This window comes from Homo sapiens, chromosome 5 (genome assembly GCF_000001405.40).
Source record: "Homo sapiens chromosome 5, GRCh38.p14 Primary Assembly".
Classification (NCBI taxonomy): Eukaryota; Metazoa; Chordata; class Mammalia; order Primates; family Hominidae; genus Homo; species Homo sapiens.
In genome coordinates, this window is record NC_000005.10 from 79,609,034 (window position 1) to 79,621,982 (window position 12,949).

The 12,949-nt window shown below is 38.2% G+C and overlaps 1 protein-coding gene and 1 long non-coding RNA gene across 83 annotated transcripts in view, besides 1 other annotated feature; one reads left to right on the plus strand and one right to left on the minus strand.

Moving 5' to 3' along the window:
• Positions 1 to 2,437: 2,437 nt before the first annotated feature.
• On the minus strand, positions 2,438 to 3,304 carry LOC124901014 (uncharacterized). Its single transcript, XR_007058840.1, has 2 exons — positions 3,109 to 3,304; positions 2,438 to 2,987 (listed from the first exon to the last, which is right to left on the minus strand). It is a non-coding gene; the product is annotated as an uncharacterized LOC124901014 (long non-coding RNA).
• Positions 3,013 to 4,212: an enhancer, noted in NCBI's record as "CDK7 strongly-dependent group 2 enhancer chr5:78907869-78909068 (GRCh37/hg19 assembly coordinates)". NCBI's record gives its function as "activates an origin of replication core promoter dependent on BRD2, BRD4, P300/CBP, MED14 and CDK7 cofactors, with strong dependence on CDK7, by STARR-seq in HCT116 cells {active_cell/tissue: HCT116}" and the evidence as "EXISTENCE:reporter gene assay evidence [ECO:0000049][PMID:35650434]".
• TENT2 (terminal nucleotidyltransferase 2) overlaps positions 3,408 to 12,949 on the plus strand; it is a 75,806-nt gene continuing 66,264 nt past the window's right edge. For 15 of the 82 annotated variants that reach the window (NM_001388099.1, NM_001388101.1, NM_001349549.2 and 12 more), the window contains exons 1-3: positions 3,408 to 4,042; positions 10,579 to 10,752; positions 10,961 to 11,050. In NM_001388099.1, coding sequence (NP_001375028.1) covers positions 10,616 to 10,752; positions 10,961 to 11,050 — 227 coding nt within the window. In that variant the 5' untranslated portion in view covers positions 3,408 to 4,042; positions 10,579 to 10,615. Of the gene's footprint in view, positions 4,043 to 4,184; positions 4,215 to 4,901; positions 5,528 to 7,603; positions 7,671 to 8,496; positions 8,567 to 9,613; positions 9,691 to 10,578; positions 10,753 to 10,960; positions 11,051 to 12,949 lie in introns of those variants that run through there. The other 67 variants (NM_001388100.1, XM_011543220.4, NM_001349552.2 and 64 more) reach the window with 27 other exon arrangements.

Genomic DNA, 12,949 nt, shown 5'->3' on the forward strand with positions numbered 1-12,949 from the left:
TTGCTTGAGTCAAGGAGTTCGAGACCAGCCTGGGCAACATGGGGAAACTCCATCCTCTATAACAAATACAATAATTAATCAGGCATGGTGGTGCACACCTGTAGTCCCAGCACTAAGGAAGTTGAGGTGGGAGGATCACTTGAGCCTGGGAAGTCGAGGTAGCAGTGAGTCGTGAGCATGCCACTACACTCCAGCTCTTTTGAGACACAGCAAGACCCTATCTCAAAAAAAAAAAAAAAAAAAAAAACAACCACACACACACATTCTTATCAGATACGTGATTTGCAAATAGCTGCTTCAGTTTTTGGCTTGTCTTTCCATTCTCTTTCTGGGGCTGCAGTGACCTATCATAATGCCATCATACTCCTGGGCTCAAGTGATTCTCTGCCTCATCCTCTCAAGTAGCTGGGACTACAGGTGCATGCCACCATGCCCGCCTCAAATTTTTGATGCTGTTGTAGATGGTATTTTAAATTTCAATTTCAGATTGTTTATTGCTGGTGTACTACAAATGCCATTGACATTTGTGTATTGATTTTACGACCTGTAGTCTTGGTCATTTATTTGATCTGATAGTTTTTTGTAGATTTTGTGCCAGAGTTTTCAATAAATAAAACAAATAAAACCAGTTTTACTTCCTTCTTTGCTAATTTGAATGCCTTTTTTTTTTCCTTGCCTTATTGCACAGGCTAGAATCCCCAGTACAATATTGAACATAAGTTGTCAGAGCAGAAATCCTTGCCTTGTTCCTGATCTTAAGTTGAAAGCACTGTTCTTCACCATTAAGTGTGATGCTTTTTATAGACACTCTCTATCAAGTTGAGGAAGTTTCCTTGTAATCTTAGGAATGGATACTGGATTTTGTCCAATGCATTTGCTGCATGTATTGAGATTATCAAATGGTTTTTCTTTTTTAGTTTGTTAATATGGTAAATTACATTGCTTGATTTACCAATGCTAATTCAACCTTGCATTCCTAGGATAAGCCCCTGTTTGGTTATAATGTATTATCTTTTTTATATATTTTTATGTATTTATATATTTATATATCTTTTTTATATAATCTACTTTTTACTGCCTTGTCTCATGTAAACCTGTGTAATTTCCCATTGGGTCCACCTTAGGAAACAGTCTTTAAAGTTTTCTCCGTAAAGCAAGTACCAGTATACTCTTTTATGGTCAATACAATGCTAATTCAACCTTGCATTCCTAGGATAAGCACCTGTTTGGATATAATGTATTATCTTTTTTATATACTGTGAAATAAAAGTGACTAGAATTGTGCATATTATGTTTATGAGAGATATTGGTCCATAGTTTGCTTGTTTAATATCTAGAGTTTGGGTATTAGTGTAATGCTGGCCCCACAGAATGAGCTGGGAAGTATTCCCTCCTCTTCAATTTTTGGAGGACTTTATCTAGAATTGGAATTATGTTTTCCTTATATATACCATGTTAACACCCTACAAAAGAAAGCCTAAGTAGCTGTAATACTATCAGACAAAATATACTTCAGAGCAAAGAACATTATCAGCAAAGAGGAGGGTCATTTGTAAAGTGGATAATTTCATAATAATGAAACTTTCATAAAGGATAAATTCATACAAATAAGAGAATAACTATGTTTATGCAACTAATAGCTGAGCTGCAAAGTACATGAAGCAGAAATTGATAGAACTACAATTGAAAAAAACCAGTAATAGTCAGAAATTTCAATACTCTCAATAATTAGTAGAATAAGTAGACAGTAAATCAGAAAGGATATAGATTTGAACACTAATATCAACCAACTTGACATGATTGACATTTATAGAACACTCCATGCAACAACTGCAAAAAACACATTCATTTCAAATGCACAGTGAGTATTTACCAAGACAGACTATATACTCTGGGCCACAGAACAAGTGTCAATAAGTTTAAAATTATTAATAGTGTACGAAGTACCTTCTCTGATCACAATGGGATTAAATCAGAAATCAGTAACAGGCAGCTACCTGGAAAACTCCTCCACATTTGCAGACCAACACTTACAAAAAACCCATGGTCAAAAAAAGAAAGCAATAGGGAAATTACAAAGTATTTTGAAATGAAGGAAAATGAAAATACAATATATCAAAATATGTGGAATGTAGCTAAAACAGTATAGAGGGACACTTATCACACCAAATGCCTGTACAAACAAGAGACATCTAAAATTAATGGTCATCAGTTTCTGAGTTAAGAAACTAGAGAAACAAAACAAGAAATTTAAAAATTAAAAAATAGCAGAGTAAAGGAAACAATAAACATAAGAGCAGAAATCAATAAAATAGAAAACAGAAAACCAGTAGAGAAAATCCAAGAAAGCAAAAACGGGCTTTGAGATTTGAGATCCGTAAACCGAGAAGCCCCTCACCAGATCGATCAGAAAAAAAGATGACACACAAATTACCAATTTCAGAACCTGAGGGGTCAGATTTTATAGACATTAAGTGGACAATAAAGGAATACAGCTAACAGATTTGCATTATTAAACAATTTAGACATTTCTACAAATTATTAAAGCTCACTCAAGAGGCGATATCAATAAATATTTGTTGAATTAGTGAATACCAGCTATTACTATGGGCAAGGCGCTAAGTCCAGGCTTTAGAGAGAAAGAAAGCATTTTTTTTTTTTTTTTTTTTTGAGACAAAGTCTTGCTCTGTCGCCCAGGCTGGAGTGCTGTGGCACGATCTCGGCTCACTGCAACCTCCGCCTCCCGGGTTCAAGCGATTCGCCAGCCTCAGCCTCTTGAGTAGCGGGGTTACAGGCGCACGCCACCAAGCTCGGCTAATTTTTGTATTTTTAGTAAAGATGGGGTTTCACCATGTTGGCCAGGCTGGTCTCGAACTCCTGACCTCGTGATCCGCCCGCCTCAGCCTCCCAAAGTGCTAGGATTACAGGGGTGAGCCACCGCGTCCGGCCAAAGAAAGCATTTTCCTTCCAAAGAAGCTCTCAGGTTACTGGAGGGGCAAAAGAACAGATAAAGTTTAATGTTGCTCCGGGGGAGAAGATTAGGGGAACACTGGTTAAAGAAAGGCTTCTCTGGGGACAAGTCACTCGGCCAACACACGAAGGACCCACAGAAAACGTCTGTTACAGCTAGAACGGCTGCACGTGAGTTCAGGCAAGGGGCCCAGAAGTGGCCCTCCGGCGACTGCCTGCTCCACCCCTCTTAGTGCAGTCCTAACCCTTTCCCAACTTGTGCTGGCAGCAGTTAAGAAACTCCTTTCAAATCCGGCTGTCTTGCGCCTGCGCATTCAAGCAAAGCGCTCATAGGCGGGGTGGGGGGGGTGGGGGGGGTTGGGGGGTGGGGGGGGTTGGGGGGTGGGAGGGAGGCGGCCACCGGAAGTGTGACCTTTCGCTCCCCGCTGCCTATTCTCATCCGGGGTCACGTCGGTCTTCCGGGTGTCTTTGACAGGGTTTTCTACGCCGCTTTTTCGGCGACTTTTTGCTCTTCCGCTTTTTGCCACCGCCCCCAACCTTCTATATCCTTGCAGCCCCTACCTTTTCTTGTGTTGCTCCTCCCCTGGCAGCCGTGAGGGGGGTTAGATCTCAGCCGGAGCCGGAGCTGGGCCTAGCTGTCCCACGGGCCACCACTACCTCCTTTGGTTCGGGAGAAAGCTACGACCAAGTACGCCCAGCTCGGGCCTTAGAACTTCTGAACGGGCAGTGCGGGTAGGCCCTGCTTAGCCCTTCCCGGAGGACACCTGTGAGTTTAGGGGGTTTCGGAGAGGAACGCAGCAGTGTAGGCCCAGGTCGGCGGCGGGGCACGGGAAACTTTTCCGAAACGGTAGCGTTTTGTTTTGCGTGGGAGGTTCCAGCAGTATCTCTTGGTTATTCCAAATTTATGGGCGGCATCTGGGCTGCTGTACATTTTGAAGAATCTTAGGACCGCTTACTTTGCTTACTCGTTTTCTATTCCTCGCGTACTGCCTCGTCCACCACTCCAGGACCAAAAGAGGAAGATAGTCTTGGGACCCTTGCATGGTGTTTCAAAGGGTGGTGAAGAACTAAGGTACGTAGCTGGATTAATTAAAAAATTTAAAAGGCATTTATCTTTTAAGCCTTAATTAAATGGCATGAAATTGCTTCAGCTTTTCACTTTATAGGAAAATGCACAGGTTAAGACTGTTGTGTGCGTTTCTTTTCTTGTTCAGCCTTTGTAGAAAAGCTCTTCGTCTCTCAAGGTGAGAACACGAAAGGCTTATATGTCTCAAAACTTATGGATTCTCTAAATTACTTGTCTTATCTCTTTCAACTCTTTGTTTAAAGTAGCAGATATTTTTCATTAGGGTGAACAGAGAAGAAACAAAGGGAAACTGTAAAACACAAGCTAAATAACACATGTGCAGTGTATGATTTTGTGAAGAAAGAGATTGTAACTGATTACTAAATCTGTGTTTTTATATTACAGGTAACATAGTAACTTTTGTAAATATCTTCATATTGTATGGTTCAGTACCACCAGGCTTCTAACACGTACTGATTAACAGCCATAAGGCTATTAATTTATACTGATTAATAGCCAGTAATAGTGACGTTACTTTGTTGGTGTGAATAGCCCTAATTATGTCTGTTCTGGAAATGTCCTGTAACAGGTTCCATGTGAAATAGGCCGTTTATGAGTTGTTTAAGAAATGCCCATTTGGAGCCATGTGACTAGATTATTTTTTTGAACACTTGGGTGTAATTTAATTCTTAACCAAAAGGAATATCCTGTTCAAAACCTGGAAGTAGTTTTCACAGTGGGTTGGCAGGATTTAGGAACTGGATTTTTCGTATTGTGGAGAAAAGTGGGTTTGAGATATCAAAGGTATTTGGACAAAATGGACAGTATCTTGGTTTAGCCAGTAAATTTCTGGTTTTCATTCTAGGTATATTCTGCTTTCTAAAGAATCCTGATGAAGGAATTATATATAACCTTGAGTGTTCTCTAATTTGTTGGAGGAGAGGTCAAGTTGAGGACAGAAATTCCAGGTTGCAAATTCCAGGACCAAATACTTTATAACTAGAAATTACTAGGAATTAATCTTTTTTTTTTTTTTTTTTTTTTTTTTTGCAAGACGGAATCTTGATCTTGTCACCCAGGCTACAGTGCAATGGCACTATCTTGGCTCACTGCAGCCTCTGCCTCCTGGGTTCAAGCGATCTCCTGCCTCAGCCTGCCGAGTAGCTGGGATTACAGGCACGTGCCACTATGCTTGGCTAATTTTTGTATTTTTAGTAGAGGCAGGGTTTCACCATGTTGGCCAGGCTGGTCTCCAACTCCTGACCTCAGGTGATCCATCCGCCTCGGCCTCCCAAAGTGCTGGGATTACAGGCGTGAGCCACTGTGCCCGGCCGAATTAATCTACTCTTTTACTACCTTGTCTCATGTAAACCTGTGTAATTTCCCATTGGGTCCACCTTAGGAAACCGTCTTTAAGGTTTTCTCCGTAAAGAAAGTACCAGTATACTCTTTCATGGTCAAGTACAGATTGTGGAACTGATAACTTTTAAGGTAAGGAAAATTGGATATTGCCAATATCTGGATTTTATGTATCTATCATAAAATTTGTCACATAGGAGATGGTAGAAGACCATAGTTAATGTGGAGTAACGTTTTATATAGCTAATCTCTACTTAAGAAACCTTTCATTCAGAGTATGAAGAAAATGATTTAAAATTTTGTGGAGGTCCCCTTATTTCTGTTACAGTAATAGTTTTACTGTATTTTGTGAAACTCTACAGTCTCTTTAAAAAAATGATTATGTTGTTTATGATAATTGTTTTGATGTCATTTTTATTTTCATCAAAATCAATGTGAAATGTATTAGAAAAAGGCATAGAAATTCATAGGCGTTTCATTTACTTCCTCAACTCTAGATGTCTTTCAGAATACCTATATTGGTGAGCATAGAACGAATGCGTCGGAATGATTTTCCTCTACTTGAAGCCTACCTTCTTTAAAAAGAGCCTGACTTGAGGGCCAAAATTCATACTGAGGAGAGGCTGACAGATCCTTTGTTTTGCAGGGGCTCCAGAGCTTGATATATTTCTGGGAATTTGGAATATGCTAAACTAGATTTCTGCCCTAGACTAAACATCTGGCTGTGGACTCAATCTAAGTTTTTAAGCTGGGGATAATTTGGTCATTAACTTGGTAGAGTAGTTCTGAGCCACAAGTCATCTTTAGACTTAGTTTGGATTTGGCTGTGTAAGAGATGAAAACAAGGTGAGGCCTGGGCTCTTGATGTCATTTTGCATCTTCAAATCTTAATATACATGGACCTTATTCAGTTATAGAGGAAAAACAGCATATTTTTTATAGGTATAAACAAAAGTATCTAGGCTTTTTGCTATGAACCGATTTAAATAAACCTGAAAGTACAAGATTTTAATTCTAGTTTTTCTGAATACATATTTCTTCCATTCACTAGATTTGTAGTGTCTATTCCAACAAAATGAACTATCAAGCAAAATTTGTTACAGTGAATTGTATTTAATATCATTTTCTCATAAATCCTATGAAGTAGGATCCTATGTTTTATGGGAAATTAGGTTAGGGAACCAGAGTAAAAAAGGCCAAGAAGGAGTGTGAGCCTGAGCAAAGGGTGAAAAGTGTTCGTTGCCAGTCTTGAATCTGGCAATCCAAGATTTTTCTTTTTTCTTTTTTTTTTTTGTTTTTGAGACAGGGTCTTGCTCTGTTGACCAGGCTGGAGTGCAGTGGCACAGTCTCCTCGGCTCACTCCAACCTCCGTCTCCCTGGCTCAAGCGATCCTCCCACCCCAGCCTCCAGAGTAGCTGGGACTTCAGATGCAGACCACCACACCTGGCTAATTTTTGTTGTGTGTTTGTTTTTTTTTTGAGACGAAGTCTCGTTTTTTCGCCCAGGCTGGAGTGCAGTGGTGCGATCTCTGCTCACTGTAACCTCTGCTTGCCAGGTTCAAGCGATTCCCCTGCCTCAGCCTCCCAAGTAGCTGGGATTACAGGTGTCCACCACCACGCTAGCTAATTTTGTATTTTTAGTAGAGACGGGATTTTGCCGTGTTGGCCAGGCTGGTCTCGAACTCCTGACCTCAGGTGATCTGCCCACCTCGGCCTCCCAGAGTGTTGGGATTATAGGCATGAGCCATTGCACCCGGCCTAATTTTTTTTTTTTTTTTTTTTTTTTTTGAGATGGAGTTTTGTTCTTGTTGCCCAGGCTGGAGTGCAATTGCGCGATCTTGGCTCACTGCAACCTCCGCCTCCCAGGTACAAGCGATTCTCCTGTCCCAGCCTCCCAAGTAGCTGGGATTACAGGCATGTGCTACCACGCCTGGCTGATTTTTTTTGTATTTAGTAGGGATTTCACCATGTTAGTCAGGCTGGTCTTGAACTCCTGACCTTAGGTGATCCATCTGCTTCGGCCTCCCAAAGTGCTGGGATTATAGGCGTGCAGCCTAATTTTGTATTTGTTGTAGAGATGGGGTTTTACCGTGTTGCCCAGGCTGGTCTTTAACTCCTGGGCTCAAACAATCTGCCTGCCTCAGCCTCCCAAGGGATTACAGGCATGAGCAACTGCCCAGCCCAGGATTATTGTATGTATTTTTGCTAGGGGATTCCCTGGAATGCTGCTTAGTTCAAGATATTTCCATTTCCTCTGAAGAAGCTAGGGTGTACAGGTGAGGAAATATGACAGGATTATTTTCTTTTTTAAAAATCTCTTGTAAAAAGACATAAGGGTCTGCTAAAGAAAGTTGACAGACTCTTGTTTTCTGGAGGTTAACCTTGTCTCTGGTCCAAATTAGAGTCAGGCATTTAGGATGAGGTCTGATGATGGTTCATAGAATTTTGTCCACAATCTGTTATGAACCCTGGACTGGTGAGCCTTGTTATCTGTGGCCAACCTAGGGAATTTTAATCTTATGGAATTGAAAAAACAAGGAACAATGTTTGTGAGGGATTTATTAATTTCTTCCCAGATTTTTCTTTTTCTCCCCTGTTGTCTCTCATAGTTTTTCCAGCCCTCCTAGTCACAATCCCCAGAGGCAGCTACTTCAATTCTTCTGGCTACCTAGTTTTACTTTACTCTGTTGTTTAAAAAAAAAAAGAAAAGAAAAAAGAATAAAGCTTCTATAGTTCATTCTTTTGATTTATTTTTACTGAAAATGAGAATTTAGCACTTTTTGTACCCTCTTGTCATCCTCCATATAAAACTTGTGATATATAAACACAAATGTATAAGGTAGTGTCATATATAAATAATATATAATAAATTTTATATAGTAACTCAGTTTTAAAAAAATCAGTATATTCATTCTTTGTAAGAATCAGGTAACTGATTATATTGCCTTTTTTATATTACCTATTGAGTGTTTTTTTCTTTGGTAATTTATTTTTAACTAGCTACTTTTCTGTATTTCTAAAATTATTTCTACTCTGTTAACAGAACTTATCTCTATGGTCAAATACATCAGATAATCCACCAGTTGATTTTTCTTTTCTTAGATATCTTCTTGAAGCCCTGCATCCTCCCATTCTAATTTGAACTGTTAGCTTCCCATCACTGTCATCTCGGGTAATTTACTTTGTTTCTGCCCTACATCAGATCTCCCTTTTTCTAGATTCCAGGTTTTCTTTTTCTTTTTTGATAACTTAAATGTCTAAGAATGTTTCTAGTTGCCTTTGCATTGATAGTACAGCTAGGTATAGAATTACAGCCTGAGAGCATTTCCGTCAGAGATTTGAAGTCATGAGTCCATGTCCTGTGCTATTGAGAAGTCCAAAGCCATTTTGATTTCTTGCCGTTTGTTTATAACATTTTCCCTCTTTGAATATTTTATAAACTTCCTTTTTTTGTGTGATATTCTGAAACTTCAATATAATATACCTTGACATGTAACTTTTTTACTGTGCTTTGTACCCTTTAGATCCTTTCAGTCTGGGGATTGGTGTCTTTCAGTCTTTGGCATTTTTTTTGTTTTATTTATTAGGTAATGTCCTGTATTTTTTCTGTTCTTTCTGGACCTTCTGTTACAATGTTAGATCACATAGTTTAATACTTTTTGTTTTCTCTTCTGTTGTCTTGCCTCCTTCCTGCCCCTACCACCTTTTCCTTTTCGTTCTTTCTAATACATTTCCTCAAAGTTATCTTTTAAATTTCTGCTGGGTAGTTTTGCTTTCAATTTTATAATTTCCCAGAGCCTGTTTATTTTATTTTTGTGAGATAGGGTCTTGCCTTGTGTCCCAGGGTGGAGTGCAGTGGCATGAACATGGTTCACTACAGCCTTGACCTCCTGGACTCAAGCAATCCTCCCACCTCAGCCTCCTGTGTAGCTGGGACCATAGGCAAACACTACTGTGCCTGGCTAATTTTTTTGATTTTTTTTTTTTATAGAGACAGGGTCTCACTTTGTTGTCCAGGCTAGTCTTGAACTCCTGAGCTCAAGTAGTCTTCCCACCCCGGCCTCCCAGAGTGCTGGGATTGTAGGTGTGAGCCACCACATCCGGCCCCTTTCTTTTTAAATAGCATATTCTTGTTTTATATATGCAATGTCTTTTCATTAATCTGAGTTTTTTTTTTGAGTGTTCATTTGTTCCTGACATCGTTTCTGTTTATTCCCAGGTTTTATTTTTCTTCTGGTGATCCATGGATGCCTATTTTAAGTGAGAATATCAGGAGTCTAATTAGAAACTCTAAAAGTATGTGGGTAGGGCCTGTCAACTAGTTGGCTTCATGTTAAGTTGATTAGTTAGCTACCTTGACATTTTCTTGATGGACTCCCAAGTATTATTATGTTCTCTTGTTACTACGTTACATAGTTTCTCTCTCATTTTGTTTTTTCATAAGAGTTTTCTAATTGCTTGCTTTGAGAAAGTGGGCTGAGGGGTCCTATTTTTCTTTGTAGACTTTACCTGATCCTCATTTTCAGTTTATTACTTTATCCTATCCTTTGCAAGACTACAGCCTTGATATATTGGTCACTGCAAAGAATAAATATCTACTCTCCTCCCTGGATCAGTGAAGGATTCTGATTGCTTTGTACAATTTTTCCCTATTCCTGTGGAACATAGCCCTCTTTTATTGGAAGTCTTTTATATAAATTATGTAGACTTTGAGGGGAATCTCAGAATCTTATAAATTGTTAAGACAATATAAAATCCATTCCTTATTTGATCAGACCTGTAAGATCCAAATTCTAGGAATCAGGATGTCATGTGATGGTTTATACCTTTGTATAAATTAGTTTGAGAATAAATGTAATAATCTGTGGGATTTTATTAATGTCAGGTGATAACTTGGATTTCTAAAAGATTTGTTGATACGAGGGTAAAAGTATTAGGGTAAATTAATCAGAAAATTAGAAATGTGCATATATCTTGCTGTTTGAATTATGTTAATCTTAGATTTGGAATTTATTATTAGTTTTCTTTTGTTACCTACAGTGGCACTTAGGAGACCTATTTAACTTTGCAAATAAAATTTGTAACTTGATAACTAATTGTTTTAAGTTAGTGGATAATAGTTATCAAAGTGTTTAGTGTCTTTAAGCTATGATAATTTAATATTGTCTTTTTAAATTATCCTAGGTAGAAGAATACATGTTCACTTCCAGTGAACAAGAGCATGTTCCCAAACTCAATTTTGGGTCGCCCACCCTTCACTCCAAATCATCAACAACATAATAACTTCTTTACCCTGTCACCTACTGTTTATTCACACCAGCAGCTTATAGATGCACAATTCAACTTTCAGAATGCAGAGTGAGTATGGTGATATTTTGGCCCATGTTGTTGGTAAATTTCATTTTCTATTTGACATAAACCCTTTTTGTATGAAACTTTTGAACATGGAGAATATGTCGTCACATTTTTTTTTGATACGGATGTATTTAATTTTTTTTCAGAGACTGGTTTTGTTTTTAAAGAAAAAATATGTATAAATTACTGTTCTTTTCTTTGATTTTGTTAGCTTGTCTAGAGCTGTGTCATTACAGCAGCTGACATATGGAAATGTCAGTCCAATACAGACCTCAGCTTCCCCATTATTTCGAGGAAGGAAGTAAGTACTTCTTAATTATTTTAAAAGAATATTTTTGCATTTCTGAGAACTCTGTAATGATGTATCTTGAATTAATATTGTATGGACCCTAAGCCCTATGTTTTGTTTTCTGGGACCTGTACGATCAGATGAGTCATGGAATTTTAACATTTTTATGCGTTTAAAAATTTTAGGTGTTCTTTTGTTGATTTGTTCCTGCTTTATTGTATGTTTGTTTCTGCCCTACATCAGATCTCCCCTTTTCTATATCCCAGGTTTTCTTTTTCTAGAATAAAGCTGTTTCCTCAGAAAACCACTTTTTAATTGAGATTTTTTAACTAAATGAGATGGCCTGTATTCATTTGCTAGGGTAGGGTTGCCATAACAACGTACCACACATTGGGTGGCTTACACAACAGAAATTTATTTTCTTACAATTCTGGAGGCTAGATCAAGGTGTTGGCAGGGTTGGTTTCTTCTGAGGCTTCTTTTCTTGCCTTGTAGATGGCTGCTTTGTCACTGTGTCTTAATATGGCCGTTGCCCTGTGTTTTCTGTGTCCTCATCTCTTCTTCTAAGGACACCAGTCATATTGGATTAACGTTCATCTTAAAGACCCCACTTTAACTTAGGTAACTTTTCAGAGGTCCTATCTCCAAATACAGTCACATTCTGAGCTACTGGGGCTTAGGACTTCAACATCTGAATTTCTAGGGGGACACAATTATAGCATTTTCTTTCTAGTAAACTTTATGTTTTTCTTTTGATTTATCTACATCTCACACAGGTAAGGTTCCATGATAACAAATATTGTAGTGAAAATTTCTGTGTGACATAAAACTTCCTATAGTCAAGTCAGGAGTCAATTAATTTTAATCTTTGATTAAAAGAAATTCATTTATTTAAAAACAGAACTTGAGAGGTAGTTATTGAAATAACATTCGGCAATATTTGAAAGATACCACTATTACTTAAAAACCTATATAAACATTCTATAACCTTTATGTCCTATTAAAAAAAACACTATCAGTGAACAAGGTGCTGTAAAAAAAAAAAATAACACTAGCTAGGAGTTATTGCTTATTATGTAGTAATCATTATTTTAAGCCTTTACAACTAACGGTTTGATTAAATCACGTAACACTGAGGTAGATACTATTATCCCTTGCCTGTTGAGGAGAAAGCTGACTCACACAAAGGTTAAGTAACTACTTACTCAGAAGTGACATAGCTAGGATTTGAAATGTTGTATGTCTCTGAGTCATATGCTTAAAAGCACTACAGGTTGTTCTTCAAAATTGTCATTGAGAAAAGTTTTATAATAATTCTAATAGTATTGACTTTATTCAGATTTTATTTTTTAGAAATTGCCTTTATAGCCAATTTGTGAATTAAGAATGAAAATAAGCTCCCTTAGGCCGGGCGCAGTGGCTCACACCTGTAATCCCAGCACTTTGGGAGGCCGAGGCAGGCAGATCACGAGGTCAGGAGATCGAGACCATCCTGGCTAACACAGTGAAACCCCATCTCTACTAAAAATACAAAAAATTAGCCGAGTGTGGTGGCACATACCTGTAATCCCAGCTACTCAGGAGGCTGAGGCAGGAGAATGGCATGAACCCAGGAGGTGGAGCTTACAGTAAGCCAAGATCCCCCCACTGCACTCCAGCCTGGGCAACAGAGCGAGACTCTATCTCAAAAAAAAAAAAAAACAAAAAAAACAAAACTCCATTAATTTGTAGTTAAACATATTTTTAAAATTAAAATTGGCATTCTCATTAGAAGATATTCAGCATATATAGCTCTAAAATACTTTTATGTTTAAAAATATTAAATATACTTTTATGCATTTAGCACTGTATATTTTACCTGTGAGTAGGGGTTCCACTTATTTTGCAGATCTATCAAGGAGAGAGAAATTG